The sequence below is a fragment of the Homo sapiens genome, chromosome 4 (assembly GCF_000001405.40).
Source record: "Homo sapiens chromosome 4, GRCh38.p14 Primary Assembly".
NCBI classification, from domain to species: Eukaryota; Metazoa; Chordata; class Mammalia; order Primates; family Hominidae; genus Homo; species Homo sapiens.
This window is the reverse complement of record NC_000004.12, coordinates 79573864-79594724: the sequence shown is the minus strand read 5'-3', so window position 1 is coordinate 79594724 and position 20861 is coordinate 79573864. Positions and strand designations below refer to the sequence as shown.

Here is a 20861-nt window from a genome sequence, read left to right as displayed (position 1 = left end):
TTTTATTGTGAGCTCATCATAGGTTTGCCTCGCCTACATAGAATTATAATTAGATATCATAAATACAGTCAACTAGACCTATTATTTTAGGAAAAAATAAGACATAAGGGAACAAAATAAACTGAAATAGGAGTATTATGGAATGATTGTGATGCTTAAATGTCTTCCTATGCCCAAACCTTAATTACCAAGATTCTCAATTTAAAATCACTCAAGAACACACACATTTACTAACTTGCAGGCAATTTCACTTGTTTAGAGGGGTGTATGAAGACCTTAGAGTGGAAAAGGGAAAACAACAATAAAGAGATGATAAGCCTGCAGCAATAGGCCACTGTACCATACCTCAAATGTTCCCTTTCCTGAATGCCAATATGAAAACATTTGGGATGGGAAAACGTATTTAATGCATATACCAAGTGAAAACCTTCTCCTATGCAAGTAAATATGTAGGTTTCCACTAATCCATTTATTTATTCTTTCATTAACTTCATTCTTAAGTATTTTCTGAGTTTCTCAAGAAACAAAAATAAATTGTTGGAATTCTAATAAACTGTGAGGTAGTTCATCAAAAGATTGGTTAGAGAAACAATAGTTCCTAACTAGAAAATTCATGTTCTATTGTATAAGGTTGTTGTGAGTAAAAGTCATTAGCCATGACTAAGAATAGTTGTTTCCTAAAGTGTCCTCTTTGCACATATATTAATCAATGTTCACAATAACCCTGGAAAAGGTGTTATCATACTCACTTTAGATTAACAAAATTGAGTCAGAACTAACATAGGGTGAAGCTAAGATTTGAATCTTGGTCTTGATGTGTCTCTGTCTTTCATTCAATTTCACCACAGATAAGAAATTTTGCCATAATTCTATTTGTTCTAGAGTAGAACTATTCTTAAGGTTAGCCTTAAGACTATTTTAAAAATTCAAATCCTAAAGGCATTGTGTTTAGACTATATTAGTTATTACTTGGTTTACCAGGATATGCTCTATGTAAAATTTTGCTTTCTTATATGAAAGAATCTTGTAATGATTTAGAGCACTTCAACAATGGGATGAAAATAATTCTAATCCTGGGGCAGGGCCACTGGCAGAATTGCAGAGTTACCCTGCTTTGGAAGAAAGTTTGGACAACTTAGATCTGTAAGGTCGTTTCTAATTTTCATGGTTCATGACAATATTGTATAAAGTAGCTGTGATGAAGTAAAAAGGGTAAAGGAATGAGTCATAAGTTCTAGAGTCAATAGTCAAGAGATCAAGTTTTGGCTTTTAATACAAGCCTGTTTGAGGGTTAACTTATTGATAGCTCTCTGGGTCTCACTTTAGTCAACTAAAAAATAAAATGGGGGGCAGAATTGTGAAGTTCACATAGTCACTATTAAAATTAATTGAGAAGTTAAAAGAAAAATCACATAATAAACTTTAATATACTAGCCACCATATTATGTGTTGATATAAGGCATAGTGGATATAGTAATGCACCCAGAATTATTCTTTAAACTGATCTTTAATAGGAACTTGTCCATTCTCAAGAGAATTAGTCTGTTTCCATTATATAATCCTAAGCCTCTCATATGGTTTTCATCCATTTTTTCTTTTTCATTTACTATTTCAAGTAGAAAAGTCTGTTTTCTCTTTTTTTTTTTTTTTTTTTTTTGTAGTACCATGTTTGAGATTTCTTTAGGAATTCAATATGGGTGACTTTTGTCAGAATAATATAAATTTCCTTTAAGTGTTTGCAACACATTGTTGTTGTTGTTGTTGTTGTTTTTCAGAAGCCTCTCTTTGGGCCTGTGGCTCCATGCTAACCTACAGATAACACTAGAAAGTAACTGTTCCCTATCCCATTTTTACTTGTCTCTTCTCTCTCATGCACCTACTGTTTGAAATGACTTCTTGCTCTGTAGGGAGACCCCCTGAAACTATCGCTACGGAATAAAAGATGAAATCCTCCTGATTATTGTTAAATACAAAATTGCATGCAAGATTGTGTAAAGACAATGCCAGGTTGGGCTGCCAGAACGAGCCAACAGCACGTGATGTGCTTCCCCCTGCAGAGAGCCTATGAATGGACGTGCAGTTAGGGAGGTTTCACATCACCAAGATTCCTATCCCAGAAAAGTAGATGTTCATAGCTCTGGGAATGGAATGTGACCCTTGTGGAGAGCCTATAAATGAATGCATTGGGGGAGGGGGCGCCTGTCCATATGGATAAGATAGGGCTATAAACGCCCTCATCTTGCCACGGCTCTTCTAGGCCTCTTTAGGGTTAAGGCATACTCCCTTCTGAGAATTTCTGGTCTAACCGGTTGTCTAGCTTCACGTCCTGTTTCCATGGATTGTTTGTAATGAGCTTTTGTTGCAATTGTTACTGCTGATTAATATCTTGCTAATCATAGGTTATGGAAAGATTGTGTTTCTGTTTTAAGGCTCTGTTAGAAATTACTGACGCACACACTATATTGTAAATTCTTATCTCTGTATACTGTACTTCTACATACAAATGTACTGTACTTCTACATACAAATGTTATGTTAAAGAATTACTTCATCCCCATGTGACCATCTCACCTCATAATCAAATGACCCTAAATCTCTCACTAACCTATCCCCGCCCTCACTAAACTTAATAATAAATGCTAGTATATCCAGTGCATTGTTGGCACCGCAGGACCAGAAGGCGGTGACCCCCCTGGACCCAGCTTTCATTATCTTGTGTGTGTCTATTTTTTCTCAACCTGCCAATCTGCCTGGGAACAAAGAGAGAGCCCCGTTGCATTGTGGGCTGCTGGCCAGATCCCACAATATTGTTCAGTGTAGAATATACTTGAATGTAATGGTTAATTATAAAGAAGGAAAAGTAACTGTTATACCTGCCTATGCTTTAAAACAAGTATACTTTATGCTTAACGATAATTATTGAAATAAAAATTTCTAGCATTTATTTGCTGCCAAACATTATTTGTTTAGAGACCATGTAGGATTCTTTTCTTGATCTTAAGCCTACTCCACTTCTGATAGTGTAAGAAGGGTTTGTGGGGGAAAAAGAAGAAAATTTCTGGGCCTCATTTCTTCCCTACTTTTATATTTACCTAACTCTCGTAAGCATTTTATAACTTACTAAAACTTATCTGAATAAGAAACTGAAATATTGTAAATAATAAGAGCCCACAATGGAGGTGTTCAGTCTGTGTGGCTCAACAGGGAATAGTCATTACAAACGAGCAGTGACAAGACTAGAGTAGTGGGGTCAAAATCAGGGCCAGAGCTTAAAGGGAAAAACTTAGCTTATGAGGTGTAGGAAAGCTCAACAGTGGTCAGGATCAGAAACTCTAAATTGAAAAAAACAGGACAAAATGTCAACATTCCTTAACTTGTATAGAATAAAGCAACCTTGAGCCAGTGAGAAGATAGTACACAAAAGCTGGGAGGGAAACATGTGGGTCATGACAAATTATTAAGAATAGTGTTAAGTTCTAGCCCCTGGTCAATCTGCTTGTATTCACCTATCCAAGACTGTCAGAATCCCCCAGACTTTTGCAGTAGACTAAAACAGACGAAGGGAGCAAACATTATGCTTGGATGTATAAAACTGATTATTCCAAGATAATGTCAAATCAGTTCTGCCTTGCCCAAGGGGAGACTGTATTGTTCCAGGAATAACATTCAATTGTGGCAAGGATAAGAGAATTCCCCTGATCTATTCCCCTGATCTATGACAGGCTGTGAGACCATGCACCCAAGTCTCATAAAGAAGCAAATTACCAACCTTAATTCTATATTCCTTGAAGCACTAAAATTAACATTTTCGGGGGAGGAAGAAAACTGAGTATCCTACAACAAAAATCTAACTTTTGTCCTTGCAAGAGCATGCTGACTAACAATTTCACATGCTAAAGGAAAAAATTAGCAATAGGAATCTCTTTTGGAGTCTCATAGAACTAGAGCACATATATTCTTCAACCAACTTTATTAATATCTCTAAGGGAACAGTGCATGCTTGACATTGGTTTAAAATGTAGTATCATTAAGTTACTCCAAGTCGATTCTTTCTCATTTCTCTTCTATGTCATTAGTGGTTTGATGGAGCCTGCTAGAATTGCCACAGTGAACAGACTGTCCGAGTCTTAAAAATAAACTCTTGTTGGCAAGGGTTTATATCTGCAATTTGGGGTGGAATTTTGGCACTTGAAAGATCAGCTACTTAAGTGATTTTTTTTTGCATTTGTCTGCATGATAAATTTGTTGTACAGAGTTCTCACATAGAGAGAGAATAATAAAGTGAAAGTCATGATCAGATCATTTGCCTATCTCAAAATCAGCTTTTTAGGATAATTCTTTATTCAGTCATAAATTCTTATACCAAAACATTTTACCACCTTCCTTTCTTTATATTGACATTTTTAATTGTAATTATTTGTGACCTCTTTTCCCTTGTCATTAAAAATACATGTACTTACAAACTGGATTTTGCTTTTAAAGATCTCTTATAGATTAGAATAAAATGTAGCTCTATATTAAACAAGCTTCTTCCACATACACACTTACATAGAAGATTATAAGTGAACTACTATTCAAGCTTAGTTAGTCCAAAATGGAAGCAGTAGTCAATGAAAATATAACTGATTTTATCATAATTAAAATTATATACACATATTAAATATACACATATAAATTATATACACATACTAAATACACATATTATATATACACATAAAAATTATATACACATATTAAATATTTTTTCCAACTTTTATTTTAGGTTTGGTGGTACATGGGTAGGTTTGTTTCAAAGGTATACTGCATGATGCTGAGGCTTGGGTTACAACTGAACGTGTCACCCACATATCAAGCACAATACTCAATAGGTAGTTTTTCAAACCTTTCTCTTTTCCCATCCTTCCCCGATTTGTAGGCCACAGTGTCTATCTTTAAGTCCATGTGTACTCAATGTTTAGCAACCACTTGTAAGTGAGAACATGCAGTATTTGGTTTTTGTTTCTGGATTAGTTCACTTAGGATAATGACCTCCAGCTGCATCCATGTTGCTGCAAAGGATATGACTTCATTCTTTTATATAGCTGCATGGTATTTCACGGTGTATATGTGTCACATTTTCTTTTTCCAATTCACCATTGACGGGCACGTATGTTTCCATGTCTTTGCTATCATGAATAGTGCAGTGATGAACATACGGGTATGTAAGTTTTTGTGGTAGAATGATTTGTTTTCCTTTGGGTATATATCCAATAATATTTGAATAATAAAAGTTCACTTGTCCAAGACTGGTCCCCAGCAAGCTGGCCTCTCAGAAAAGAAGCTGATCCCCTACAAATCTCCTAAAAAATTTACTACTGCCCTGTCCTTGAGGAAACAGGTCTTGGTCCAGCAAATCCTGGGACCATCATCCTCCTCGTCACACCAGAGGAGGAGATAGAGCTTCCCGCAACATAAATGCGGAAGTGGCAAACCCTGCAGCAAGCTTCCCTTGTCATTCAGCTCCACTGTGCGCCTGGGACTGCAGCCCCCTGATTGCATAGTGTTGAGGAGGCTGGTGCTCCATCCTCCGAACATGTGCACTCACTTGCTAGAAAGATGAGGCTGGAGACAAGATTCCTCCACAATCATACTGCTATTGCATCCCAGTCCCTGCTCAAGCCAGGGAATTGATGGAGGGTTCTGTAATTTTCCTGCTTAAGAACTTCCCCAAACAGAGGGACTAGTCTTTCTTCCAGGGTTGGAAGTCTGGCTCGACTAGTCCTCTGTGTCTGCCTGAGAATGCATAGACAACCAGAGTCCCATCTTAGAATGCTGCTCCAGCAAGTCTGATGTGTGTGCTGTCCAGCCACATGCCTTGCTGACATGACATTAATAACAGTCATCATACAACTATTTACTGAGCTAAAGGCAAAAACCCAATGAAGTAATTAAATTGTCTTGAATTTAGAACTGGAATTAAAGTCAAAAAACATTAATTAACTTGCCCACATCTTCTTAGATAATATTGATGAGATCAACTTTTAAACCCAGATTTGTCTTTAAAGTCTTTGTTCTGAATCTATATAGTATTATTTCCATGATTTATACTTTTCAAATAGAGGAAAGTTAACAACTTTAAGTCCTAAACCAAAAATCTTTAAATCACTGTGGACTGAACATAAAATTTTCTGAAATGGCTAAAACCACACAAAATGTCCTCAGGGGATAAGTATTTACAATTTTTCTTGAAAATATAAAGAGGCAGGTGCTCTCATTTGGGGGACTGGAACAAAACAACAAATGGAAAATCACATAAGACACATCTAATTTTTTATTATATTTTATTTTTTCTGAAAAGAGTAGGCCACATTTTACTGAGATCATGGATTTGTTACATGTTACGTTTTGGTCTTCTAACATTCTTCAGTGGATTTTATCTAAAGTAGGTATGTACAGAAAGAGTTGAATAGCAAAAGTGTAAATCATGTAATCATTGTGAGATTTTTGGGTTTGTCACAACTGAGAAATATTGCTGATGGTGGATGGTCCTCAAGTGTGAAAATGTTCCTTGTGAATTGCTTGTATCCAAAATATACACACAGCATTAAGGGCTGGTTTTTATTTTTTATTTTTTCCAATCCTCTTTTCTTCTCAAGGTGTCCAAGTCACACAGAACCACAGAATCTCACAGGTGTCTCAGAATTCCTTCTCCTGGGACTCTCAGAGGATCCAGAACTGCAGCCTGTCCTCGCTTGGCTGTCCTTGTCCATTTACCTGGTCACAGTGCTGGGGAACCTGCTCATCATCCTGGCTGTCAGCTCTGACTCCCACCTCCACACCCCCATATACTTCTTCCTCTTCAACCTGTCCTTGGCTGACATTGGTTTCACCTCGGCCATGGTTCCCAAGATGATTGTGGACATGCAATCGCATAGCAGAGTCATCTCTTATGCGGGCTGCCTGACATAGATGTCTTTCTTTGTCCTTTTTTTTTCAATTATTATTATACTTTAAGTTCTAGGGTACATGTGCACAACGTGCAGGTTTGTTATATATGTATACATGTGCCATGTTGGTGTGCTGCACCCATTAACTCGTCATTTACATTAGGTATATCTTCTAATGTTATCCCTCCCTCCTCCCCCCAGCCCACGACAGGCCCCAGTGTGTGATGTTCCCCATCCTGTGTCCAAGTGTTCTCATTGTTCAATTCCAACCTGTAAGTGAGAACATGCGGTGTTTGGTTTTCTGTCCTTGCAATAGCTTGCTGAGAATGATGGTTTCCAGCTTCATCCATGTCCCTACAAAGTACATGAACTCATCCCTTTTTATGGCTGCATAGTATTCCATGGAAGACATGTCTAATGTTTAAAGGTTGTAAATAAGGCAAATAACTCATAAATAAAACATGTCCTGTTCTCTTATCTTGATACATATACCTTAATAGCAACAAGATCAATGTATATACAAATGCATATGTATGCATAAAGCTGTGTATTTTTATATGACTGCAAGCCAGTAAAATAACAAGAGAGCTTAATTTAATTATTATTGTGCTTTTCTGAATGTTCTCTTTAGGCCTGCTGTGCTCTAACAGATAATAAAATGAAGATACATAATTCACAAATACATATTTTTAATAAATTTATGTTTACCTTCATTTCAGCAAAATCACCAATTATGTAGTTGTAATCACTCTTTTCACATAATTTGGCAATATTTACAGCAATTACAGATTAACCATTCTTTCTTGGAACATTGTAGCTCTTTGATGGTTTGTTTTAATAAGTTTTCATTTAGAGAAACTTCATTTTGTTAGCAAAGTAACACTTGGGATTTTTTAATGACATTTTAAAAACATTCATTATATTCCGAAATTAACCATGAATTTTACAAATTATGTTTATTCATTGCAATAGGGTAGAATTGGATGCATGATTATCATAGAATTTATTGCAAAACATTTTAAATGTATCGTATGAGTCACTATCACCTATGCAGCAATTTCACCTCCTCTTAAAGCAATAACTAGGTTCACAGAGTATTTAAGTTTGACTTTAAAATTTTTAAACACTGGAATATTATAAAGAAAATTATAAAATGTAGTATACAGCTATTTCTTTTTCAAATTTCTCTTTAATTCAAGAATACACTTGATATACGATGTCAAGAAAATAGTCTGTAGAGAAATTATTTGGGGTATCCCCAAATAATTTGTATCTGATTCTTCTCTTCACACTCATATAAACGTTTTCATGTGCTTCTTACTTCTACATATTTTAAAATAATGTCATGTTTGTTACTCGGTTTATTTGAAATTTTTTATGATTTAGGAAAACATTTATTTTCCAGATTTTTACTAAAAAATCAATTTTTAAAAAGTGAAATACTCAAACTTATATCTGCTTGGAGTTTTTTTGTATTCAATAACTGTGAATAGAACAAATTCTTAATAAATTTTCTTTTCCATGAAAGACCATGATTTACTCTTTACTTGATGATCTTTTGTTATTTAGCTCAAGTATTCTGATATGCCTCATATCTTTTATAAGTTAAGTCAAATTAGTTTAACATTCATGAAACGACATTTCCTCTCATGTCCAAGAATCCTTGGGAAGAAACCCAGCAGGGAGCGAGTTAAGGGAAATGCCTTCATGGCCTGTTCTAGCTCTCCATTGGCCAAGGTTAGTGGAAGCCAGAAAGCACAGATAGAAGCTGTTGTTATGCAACCCAGAGCCCTGAGATCCCTCTCAATGATATGGTTGGTGTGCTAATTCCTCAGTTGCTGCAGGTGCTTCTGCTATAGACTTACACCTGCATCCTTCTCAGAAGGCTTGCCCTTAGGTGACTGAGGTCGCCTTACCTGGAGGTGCCTGGGAATTATACATTCTTTCCCCATCTAGGGGCCAATGGCCCAGAACTGACTGGAGAGGTGCTGCAAAGTCCCTGTTTCCTTGTCCCACGTTGGAAAAGACTCTGCATCAGAATTTACACTACAGAACTTTCCATGGGATCATGCCAAAGCTAGATTTCACCTGAAACCACATTTTTCCATAGTTCCTTTTCATTCCATGTCTGCCTCCCTCACTCCCCTGAAGGTTGCTCCTGGGAGCACTCTCTCAATACATCATGTGTACTCAAATACCCACGTCAGGATCTATTTCTAGAGAACTTGGCCTGGGAAAGCCTGGTGGCCTGTGGAATGTAGCCCTGGAAATCAGCCTCCGGAGTAGAGAACAGAGTGAGAAGGGCATAGAGTAGACCTGAAGGAGTACATGGAAGATTCTGACAAACTGGGATACTGTGCAGCTGTGGGAGGCACTGCTTGTTGCCATTTCTAAGTATGCTACTCCAGTCTTCCTTACTAACACTTTCTACATTTGTTAGAGAGTGAAACAGAAATAGCTAGGTGTCACAGTTCAGGTCAATGAGATGCTGGCAGAAATCTCAAGGGGGACGGTGAGGGGGAATTCTCTCTTCCTAATCAAACAAAGCTGCACTAGGAGAAAGATGTCTGACCCTTTTTCTGTTCCTCTTCTTCAGTCTGGAACACAGGAGCTGGAAGCCTGGAAGGGCAACAGCCATCTGGTGACCACGATCTGAAAAGCATGAGGACGAAAGACAAGATGTTAGGATTACACAATGAAAGAGATTTCAGAGTCTTTTGTGTCAGCCTGGACTGCCTACCCCTCAATATCTGGTCATGCAAGAAAAATAAACCCTTCTCTTTTTATACTACTCTTGGTCAAACTTTCCATTATTTGTCATCATTTGTAACTTATTCCTATTACAGCAGCCATTAGAAGAATAAAGTAGAGTTATACCAGAGACTCAGAGTTTTATTTTATTAGAGCAACACCCACCTATAACAAAAGATTCACACCTTTTACCTCTAAGCATTCAGTCCAGTTTACGGTTTCTGCACCAAGTGCACTGAAAAACAAAGCCTAGCGCTCTGGCAGGACATATCAATGTTTTAATCAAGCATAGACTCTTGATTCTGTGGCCTGAGACAAACTATCTGGAGAGTATAAAGGCCATTCAGCATGCAGAACAATTTTAACAGGTGCAAGAAAATTAGCCAAATGGAAATGGGCTAAGGCTGAGGCTAATTCTTCACGTCTTATCCAAAAATTTGTTTGGGAATTATTGACCAGTACAAATGCTCCTGGCTCTGGTTTCAAATCTTGCTCAAGAGAGGAAATAAGTCTTGTCACAACAAAGTATCCAAGTGCCTTTTTGGCAGATATTGTACATGTTTTCCAGGAGGAATAGTTTTCTGGGTCAAGTAACATTCATATTACAGGGACACAGACACAAATGCCTTATTTAAACAGCAATGCACAATTTGATAAGTGCTAATACTTCTGACAAGTGTTAAAGTTTAGGATCTATTTTTTAAGCCCTTGTGGGTAATATCTCTTTGCCTCTGTGACATATATATAATTTTATAGTCAAGTACCAGAAGCTATAGCTCTGAGATTGAATTGAATAAATTGAGGGTAGGAGAATTATGAAAAATAATGAAGTAACAATAACCAAAACTAATTTATCACAGCCTAAATGAATATGCAAAAGATGTAACATTCTAGTTTTCCAGCAGAGGTGATGAAATTTTGTTTAGTCCAAAAAAGATGCTTTACAAGATGTTTTTATGTTCCAAAGTAGACCATCAGAATATACACTATACATACTACACATACATATACATACACACACACTTCATACACATATATGCACCTCATCCCCTATAATCTTTCATTTATTTTATAGCTTGAAGCTACTGTTCTCTCTAGCTTTGAACGGTTCTTTATGACTCCCATTGCTGAAAACAAAATTCAGCCAAAATTTGTATGGGGGAGAATCAACCCTGAATGATGTAAGAAATGTATTCCCAGATAAATTATAATTTCTGGATGTAAAATGCTATTATAAGGAGGAAATTTAAAGTTTGTTCTTACCAACTACAAAAACAATGAGTCTGACTTCCTTAGAAGAGTGTACAAATCAAAACTCATTTGACTAATGTGTTTAATACAATCAATGACTACATGGACAAGCAATTGATAGAGAAACACTATTTAAAAAATATTTTCAACTTTTATTTCAGATTCAGGAGGTGCATATGCAGGTCTGTCACATGGGAACACTATGATGCTGAATTTTGGGGTAGAGATGATCCCATCACCCAGGAAGTGAGCACAGCATCCAATAAGCAGTCCTTCTGCCCTCACCCCTCTTCCCTCTGGAAGTCTCCAGTGTCCATTGCTCCCATCTTCACTTCTGTGAGAAATACTCCTTTTTGAGAAAAATGTTTGGTTTTGTTTTATGTTCTCAATACTCAAAAAGTTTTCATGCAGGGTGTAGATATTAGCGAACCACAGAAGAGGGTTCATCTTCTAGTTCAAGTGCATGGGCTACTTCATTTCCTGTTCATTCACTCATTCGTTCATTTAAAACAGATATTGACTAATTACTGTGTGACTAGCTAGGTACAGGGCTTCAAAGACATAAATGGCAAAATTCCTGAAAGAGCTTACAGCCAACTTAGTAGCAAATGCAAATCTATAAGGGAACAATTACAATTATAAATATATGTACGATAGACACACACAAACAAGGCTGTGTCATTGTACAACTCCAGAGGGAAATGTAGAAAAAGAATGTCAAGAAAAGCTTCACAGAAATATTTAGGCAGAATCTTAGAGAATCAGTGAGAATTTGTCAACTTAAAATTGAGTGTAAGAAGAGAATACCAAATGAAATGCATTGTATAGAATATAAAAATTGTTATGGGAATAATTGTAAGCCTAAGTCTGTGGAGTGAGGCCTGGTCATTAAAATCCTTGTTGGTCACATAAGGATTTGGATTTCAATAAGCAATGGGGCCTTATGGAAGGATTTTAAGTATGTAATATGAGCATTTACGTATTTTAAGAGCATGACTTTGACAAAGGTAGCTATATTGGAGGGGAATGATGGTTGAAACAAAGACAGAGATAGCAGGGCAGTAAAAGAGTCACTTTTTGTATTCAATAACTGTGACTAGAACAATATCCAATAATATTTTAATAATAAAAGGTCACTTGTCCAAGACTGGTCCCCAGCAAGCTGGCCTCTCAGAAAAGGAGCTGATCCCCTACAAATCTCTTAAAAAATTTACTACTGCCCTGTCCTTGAGGCAATAGATCTTGGTCCATCAAAGCCTGGGACCATCCTCCTCCTCTTCACACCAGAGGAGGAGATAGAGCTTAACTGGACTAAAACAGCTATTTCAGTGATACAAAGTGGACAGTGCTGTGAAATGTTTAGATGTAGAAGTTGGTGGGGATAAAAGCTGATAAATTATCTTAGATTTCTACTTTGGAGAGTTAGGCAGATAATGGAGCATTCAATAGTATAGGAAATATAAAGAAACAGGCACATGACAAAGAGTAAATAAGATAGTTCAATTACGGTTATTCAGAACACACAGGTACAATTTTCTGGTGAGTACTGAAAAATATAAATATGAACCTCAAAAGAAAGGTAGAAAATGGAAAATAACTTGGAGTAAGAGTAGAATTTAAAATAAAAGGATTGGATGCAATCTCCCTCATGGAATGCATTATTGAAAACAGAAGAGAATTAATGATAGATCCTTAGAAAATGTTCCCATTTAATGGTTAATCCAGGAATGAGAGGACGTTAATTTTAATTACATCATTATATCTACTTTACTTATGTCTTTTTGTGTGCCTTTATTATTTGTTTGAATATTTCAGTCTGGATGAAATTCCATTCAATTGGCCAGTATAATGGAAAAAAAGCCTGAATTTAAATTTCATATCAATAAGTGTACTAAATATTTTCAGAGGAGTCTCATAAAATCAATATGAACCTATATTAAAATATTATGCACTTTTTTATTTGCATCAAGAATTTTGAGACTTTTGGAAGATAGAAGTAGCATCTGCATAGTAACTTTATACAGATATATATTTTAAATTTCTCCAAACTATTTTAAGACTCTAATACAGTGTTAACACAATTCTTTACGGTGATCAGACCTTAGATTATCAATTCAAGAATGAAAATCTGGAAAGCTGCCTAGGAGAATATAAAAAACATAGAAACCTGTCTATGAAAAGAATCCCATTTCTAGGTATATAAGTTTTAATGAATATTTATCACTGGGTTAATAGTCTTTTTCATTTTTTTTTAATTTTCAGGGAATCTTAAGGGAGATAAAATATTAAGAAACTAAAGGTTTCCTATTTGGAGAACAATAAGAACAACAACAAAATACAGTGTCTCATTTATTAATTGAAAAAGAAAAAATTAATTGAGATGGTGATTTTGTATATATGACATCAATAAATGTTACTTTATTGACTTAGGACAATGTAGCTTTGTCATTGACAGAGAGTGATAGCTTTGTAAGAGTAACTACTGTCCCAGTTTTACTTTCTTACTGTTAAAGTAGTAGACAGAAGAGAACCTTAAGATTAACATATCTTCTGGCAAAACACTTTCTAAGCCTTAGCATTTGGCACTGTTTTCCAAGTATGTTTCTGCCCAAGAAAATTCAAGAAAATCATTTATAAATTTCCTTTTTATATGTATAGTTTTATATACCACATTGCCTCATTTGATACTCAAAACAACCTATAGCATAGACAAAGAAGATATAATTATTTCAACTTTAGTGATGAGAAAATAATAAAATAAATTAGTATTTTTTCAAAATGTAGCATGTTGCAAGCACTGTGCTATGAGCATTCATCTGTAATTGATCTTATCTTCACAGCCAACTATAAGATTAATACTATTTTTAATTTTAGTAGCCAGAGGAAGAAACTGAGTTTTAGAGGTTTGGGAAGTTGTCCAAGGTCACATAGCTAGTGAGTGTTAAAAATGGGACCCAACCAGTTCTGTCTGATGCTAAATTCTATGTTCTTAACTTTTGTTCTTCTTACTGTACATGAAATGGCTTTGCAGAGTTCTTGTCAAAGAAGAGTATTTAGGAAGAGTTACAGAATATGGATATTGTAGCAATTGTGAATCACTTTGAAACATATGGCTACTAAATGGAAGAATTGGAATTGAATTCAGGTTTCTGACTCCAAATCATGGGACCCCAAGTCTTAATCTCTGTAGGGTACCCTACATACTGAAACACTTGAGTTAAACAGATGACCAAGTTTACAATCATCCATTAACTCCTTAAATCAGATGGAAAAGTAATTGCCAACTTTGAATTTTAAATTTTCATATCATTATATGATTATCTATGCTGACACCTAGAGTAGTTAAATTTATTTAGCACTGATGAGTACTCTATCTAGGATTTAAGGACAGTTGACAAAATTTCACTTGAACACTAAACCCGGAAGAGTCATGGCAATAATGATGTCTTAGGAGTATTTTTTATGTTACAGGCACTGAAGGTAATGATTTATCAACATTACCTTCTTTCTTTATTCTTAAAAGCATCTCCATTGTAAGTTTATTTTTTATATATTTGTCATGTTGTAAGTTTATTCTTTATATATTTAAATCTCAAGAGACATCAGGTTTTCAAGGGAACCAGTGTCCAGGAAATGAAATCAGGCTTCAAGAGTTAATAGAATGTCTAAGAGATTTCCAGAAGCAATATATGGAGTTTACAGCAGAATTTAGTGAGACCAAACTGGCTGTATGATTAAAAGGTATTCTGGTCATTCCTAGACTGGGAAGGTGACTGGAACTGAGACATGTTCAACCGAATGTCTCAGCCCAGGCCTTCTCTGGGCAGAATGCATTTCACCCCTGTGCTGGCTGTGCTCGCTAACCAGAACCATGTTTTCAGTCCAATGACCCCCTGAGACAGTATGCTTTCAAGGCCTTCGGCTACAAGGTTTGGAAAGTCCTCCACTTTGAAATATATTGCAAAAATTACACCATTATGAATAACAAAGAGAAAGCATTAGAACTCAATCCTATCACAAGACAAAATGTGCTGAAAACGTACATACAGGGTAACTGCCTGTTTTTATTCGGTTGCCAACTGTATGATATGAAAGAATCAGTTTGCTCACCTAGTGATTATATATGAAGAGGAGTAACAGCTTCCAAATTAAAATAATACTCTTCCTTTGGTGAGTGTACATGAGCATAATATTTCATGGAATTTTTTCCCCAGACAGTTAAATTAACTCATTGGAAATGTAGCATACTAAATGATTCCTTCCAAAAAGTAACATGTAATCATTTCTTTTTCAGGCTTGATTAAATTTCCTCTGCCTGTACAAATTTCATATCTGCGCCCAAATTTTATGTATCCATTTCTGATCATTGAACAGAGCACAGACCCTGCATGATCCATCTCTATTATTAGGCAAACTCAAGTAACAGCAGTTCTAGGGCATTGCACTGTAATTGGGGTTATGTTCTAAGGAATGCTATCTACATAGGCTATGTGAATGGCACATACTCCCCAACAATCATACAACAGGATCTCATTTTTATCTAGTAATAGGAGAGCAGTCTAACTAAAGCAGGTCTTTACTGTAAGTGAAATGCATAGCCAACTCAACCTTTCCCATCCCTGCCCCTGATGACCTTCTCAGTAATGTAGAGAAACCAGATATCCTAAATGATCTTATCTCACCTTATCCTTGATCTCACCACCTAATATTCTAATCCCAGCACTGCATGCTAATAATGTAAGTTGTCCATCAATACACTGAATTATTGTTATTCAGGTTTAATATACAGGGCATTCCTATGCAGAGCTGGAGACCAGAGCAGAATCTAAAGCAGATTCCAGTAGACAAGCTAGAATGAAAGGGAGATTCCAGTGATGGTGGTAAATTAAACCAGATTGGGAGCATTTACATTCAGAGAGTCACCACTTGTTCCACCAGCAACATAGAGACATGCTTAAACTATGAGGACAGGCACAGTAGCCGCCGCTGTGGCAATCCTGCCAGCCCTCCTTCTGCGGTCACTTCCCCAGTCACTGCACTGACCAGCTCTTCAGCCACAAGGGGAAGGAACTGGGGATACCACAGACCATTGCCAGAACTTTGTTGTGGAATCATAGACAAGTGACAGAAATAAAAACTAAATGTGAAACTCTATAGCACTTATTATAGTTGATTATTGCCTACTCCTTTAGTTTGAAAGCATTACAAGCTATGTAGCAAGTTTATGAAACTCTTTAGCTGGCATATAAACTGATTTGGCATTTATTTTTACTCAAATATGTGTGAAAAACATTAGAGAAAAATCAGCAAAAAAGGATTTTCTCTCTTAAACAAAATTAAAATTAGGGATATTAGAAATTAGCCATATCCAAAAATCATTGTAGTTTAATACTCAGAAATAATGACTGATACTTTTATCCACACCTAACTTTCAGTGAACTCATAGTAAGAAATAAATGAAACCTCGGCGAAGCTATTAGGACATGTCATTTGAGAAAGCAATACCTGACCTTTGGGATTATATGAGATACTCCAGTGTCTTTGTAATACAGTCCCCTTCTTCTGCTTAACTTTGTTTGAGTACAATTTGTCATTTGCAAACAAAAAGAATACCAACCGACAAACTGGAATAGTGAGATTTCCCATGCAGATTTCTAAGGTTTGGGTCATTTTTTTGAAAAGGGATTGGCACACAGTAGGCATTTCATAAATGGTGGCTGTTAATGGCAGAGTAAATTGATCATCCTAGGTTGACATTATGTGTTTTATCCTCAATGAAATAAAGGCAATGGCTATTTTGTAATGTTGGAACCACAGAAAGAGTGACAGATTGGTGAGGGATGAGGACATTGGATGTAGAAACAAAATTAATGCTGGTGGTCAAAAGATGGCAGATGTTAAAGCTGTGTCACTGTCATGTCCCAGTCAGCTATGCTGCCATGTTAATTCCAGGTGTAGCTGTTTAACAACACACAGTGCCTTCAACTACGGTTAGGGTTAAAGTTATGTACAGAATGAGACTCAAACTGAGTTTAATTCTAAAAAAATTTGATTTAATAAAGGCTCTCTTGTAAAATTTATATATAAAACTAATAAACGTTTAAGCTAACTTCCAAGAAAAATGTTAATTCTTTGTTAAAAATTGGAATAATTGGCATTCTAATAATAAACAATCTATTAAAAAACTCGTTTAGGGTAAGAGAGACTATCCCATAATAGGATTAGGCCAGTCATGTTGAAAATAAGCGAACAATATTTCTATTTATTTATTTATTGAGATAGGATCTCACTCTGTCGCCCAGGCTGCAGTGCAATGGTGTGATCTCGGCTCACTGCAACCTCCACCTCCTGGGCTAAAACCATCCTCCCCCCTCCACCCCCCAAGTAGCTGAGACTACAGGCATGCACCACCACACCTGGGTGTATTTTTTGTAGAGCTGGGATTTTGGCATGTTGCCCAAGCTGGTCTTGGACTCCTGGACTCAAGCGATCTTCCTGCCTCAGCCTCCCAAAGTGCTAGGATTATATGTGTGAGCCAGTGCACCCAGCCATATTTTACTTTTATTCATTGATTTAAATTAATGAAAAGTTGAACTATAATTATTTTATAAAGACATGAGGTTAAAAATCAGGTATCTAAACTCAAAAGCAACTAAATATTAATCTTGTCTGTACACAGGACTTAATAATATGATTTAACTATGCATATGAAAATATAGCACATACAAACCTGTCCACATGAATGAGTTCAAATTGTCACCCCTAAAACTGTCTTTATGCTCTGAGAAAAAAAAAGTATAAAATAAGAAATACACGCTTAAGGGAAAAAATAGTGTGTGATAAACCATGATAATAGATAAACGCGGTTATGATCTCTGTCACACATTCTCATCACAGTCATGTAGACATTTGTGGTTTAATTGTGTTACAATCATCTTTATATTAAAAGGTTGAAGACTGAGTGTAGATATTTTTAATCAAAGAATTTTACCTTAAATAGAAGGAATGACATATACTTGTATGCACATGATGACTGACATCTCTAGTTCCTTTCCGAAAATAAAGCATCTGCTGTCATAATTTGAAAAATAAATAAGCAAAATGTCTGCATTTTGGAGGATACATGAGCAACGCACTGAAAGCATCCCTCTATAGTTTACATCTAGTACAATTTCCAATCAGTAGAGGGCTCCCTCGTCTGTGCAAGGCCCACAGTAAAAATGCACAGTCTATACATGCAGCAGTCACACATCATGTGCGTGTTCGCGCACACACACACACACACTCTGTCTCTCTCTCACACACACCATCTAGATTAATAAAGCTGTCAATTTTCATTGTTTTCAAATCACCTTTAATATCAGTTGAGTTTAAAGCTTAGGGGAAGGAACACACAGGCAGCACCCATTGGCAATATGTTAGAACATTCTCTACCTAAAAATACAGATAGGTGTTTACAAGTTTTCTTCATTTCGCTGTGACATTCCTCAGCTCTGATGTGCATTTGGCTGCTTTCCTGAATTCACACATCTCTCTGCTCATGTGCTTGTGCATTTTGCAGAAGTGTCACTACCCAAGCTTTGCAAAATAACGAACTCAATCTTCTAAGTGACTTTGCTGAGGCTATGTCTTTATTATGCCCTCCAAAACTTGAGAGTCAAAAATAAAAATTAGAAAAATGAAGCAACTAGTAATGTTTGCTTTTGACTGAAGTCACTGAGTCCAGCTGTATTTTTTCCCACTGAAAAATAGATGAAGACATCCTAACTGGGTTGAGTTTTATTTGGGATTTTTTTCCCCTCTCCTTGGCCCGTAGGCTAGCTGATTCACTGATGCACAGTGAAAATGCCAAGAATATGCAAACCTCTCTGGGGTAGAAATTTGTAACAGAAAGGGAATTTCTGGCGGTGTAAAAGCAGGGCTGGAATAATCTCAGACTGTACCCCCAGGCCAGTTTTCGTGATACAGTTAAAAACTGGTTGGGCCGCCGGCAGAATCAACTGTTTAAACATCTTGCTGATTGTTTATGGTAGTTGCCCAATAGATGCTTAAAAACATTGGTTTTCATGGACTTCTGGTGGAAACCTCTTATACCCAGCTGATCCTAGGTTATTATTCATATATTTGCTCAGTAGCCAGATCCAAGAATTCATCTGGAAACTCTCAAAGGAGAGAGAAGAGAAAGAGTCTATGATTTTTCAATTCTAGAATCACCATGTCTGAGAAATTTTTCTTGCTCACTCTTTAATGCTCCCCAGAAGGCCCTCTGCTTAATAATCTCACCAGTTTCTTTATATGTCATATATTTCCATTGTCTACTCTAGCCTGCAGTTTAAAATGGGGACATTTTGAAAGGAATGTGCTGCTTTTTGCCCTTTATCCCACTTGCTCTTGCTGAAGTTCAACCTTGAAATGCCTCATCCCATTAGCTATATGCTTCCGGGCATTTCCAGAAGGCATCTCACATATGCTTGAAACAGGTCAGTCAGCTCTCAGGTGACAACTACGAGATACAACAACAACTTTGGTTCAGGATTAGGAAGCCTGATTATGCCACAGATCTGAACCTTGTTGAGCAATCCAAAACTCCTTCCAGTGAAGCAGATATTTTGATCTCCTCTCCAAAGCTTGTGTTGATCTCTCCATTGGTTTCAAAACTGGAGTGGAAGAAAGAAGCATGATTAATCCTAACTATCTCGGCTCTCCAATCTCAACAGCTATGTACTATGATGTTCATAAAGAAACTAAGATTCAGAGAGGTTAAGCAACATGCAAAAATCATCCATTAGTAAGCGACAGCCCCAGAATTCAAATCCACGCTTTCTAAGTCTTAATCCTGTGCTTGTTTCACGGCTCCTGTAACATTAGATAAGAAGCTTACCCTTGCTCTGCAAGGGTTCATATAAAGATTAGGATACTTCTGCCTATAAAACATGAGATAAAAATATAATGGCCTCATAGACTGAAACGATACACAATTCTAAATAAAAATCAATTCTTTATTTTGATATTCAAAGTCACCTACTCTTTATGACCACTACCCTCATTGCAAATGCCCCTATTCTGATGTGCTTTTCCATTAAATAAGATTTACACCATCCTTCTTTGGAGCCTTTGCTCATGCAGACCTTCTCACATTCCCTCTATTTTATTTCTCATTCATCCAATTCTCATTCATGCTTCAGAACCTTGCCTCTAACACCTTTCACCAATTAGCTCAGGTTTTCCTCTGACAGCTATTGTTGTAAACCTCTCAATTTGCATTTATGCATTCTTCATGTTATTTGGGAATTTTGCAAGTGGATATACAATTTTCACATGTCTGGATAGTAATCTCTTGAGATTATGAGTAGTCTTCACTATATATGTAGATATTAAGTGAGCTTATTTATATCAGATATAGACCATACAATCTCATCACTTATAGATGCTTTTTCACTGTATTGATAGATTAATGCTCCCCTTTAAACATACCTCTAAACTACTCAAACTCTATAAATGTATCTCCATATATCCCTGCAATTCTCTTTTTGAAACTAGAACAAATTAAGGGAATTGTTTCTAAAAATTTGAGCTTGAGGTAGAAAAGAGGAAGATGAAAAAATAATAAGTAACATTTTAAACTTTTTCTTACTCTGTTCTATATTCAGAAAATGTTTTAATGATACAATTTTGACATCAGTAGCAAGACAAATTTCCTTTCTTTTAATCACCAAGTCAAAGAATATTTCCATTGAGCTGGTTTCAATGAACAGAGAACTCATATATTTCCACTGACTAACAAAGGAATATTGACATCAAACATATATATTTAATTATGGATGAATATCAATACATGAGCATGGAGTCCTTAGGAAAATTACAAATGCCGAAGTACTTTGTAGAGTATTGCATAACTGATTTTATCAGGCAGAATAGCGGATGGATCTTATGC

General features: G+C 36.2%; 2 long non-coding RNA genes and 1 pseudogene across 3 annotated transcripts in view, besides 1 other annotated feature; 1 reads left to right on the top strand and 2 right to left on the bottom strand.

Annotated features, from left to right (window-relative positions):
• Positions 1-20861, bottom strand: part of LOC107986294 (uncharacterized) — a 61322-nt gene that overhangs the window by 28752 nt on the left and 11709 nt on the right. The window contains exons 1-2 of one of the 2 annotated variants that reach the window (XR_007058156.1): positions 9862-10272; positions 9498-9577 (exon numbers count right to left, since the gene is read on the bottom strand). This is a non-coding gene — a long non-coding RNA (uncharacterized LOC107986294). Of the gene's footprint in view, positions 1-9497; positions 9578-9861; positions 10273-20861 lie in introns of those variants that run through there. The other variant, XR_007058155.1, reaches the window with a different exon arrangement.
• OR7E94P (olfactory receptor family 7 subfamily E member 94 pseudogene) lies at positions 6642-6971 on the top strand (annotated as a pseudogene).
• Positions 8373-8968: an enhancer, noted in NCBI's record as "OCT4-NANOG hESC enhancer chr4:80506911-80507506 (GRCh37/hg19 assembly coordinates)". NCBI's record gives its function as "activates a minimal SCP1, AML or CMV promoter by ChIP-STARR-seq in naive H9 embryonic stem cells {active_cell/tissue: H9 hESC(naive)}" and the evidence as "EXISTENCE:reporter gene assay evidence [ECO:0000049][PMID:30033119]".
• The window catches only part of LINC00989 (long intergenic non-protein coding RNA 989), an 83868-nt gene continuing 81271 nt past the window's right edge, over positions 18265-20861 (bottom strand). The window contains exon 4 of the long non-coding RNA NR_038826.1: positions 18265-19584. This is a non-coding gene — a long non-coding RNA (long intergenic non-protein coding RNA 989). The remainder of the gene's footprint in view (positions 19585-20861) is intronic.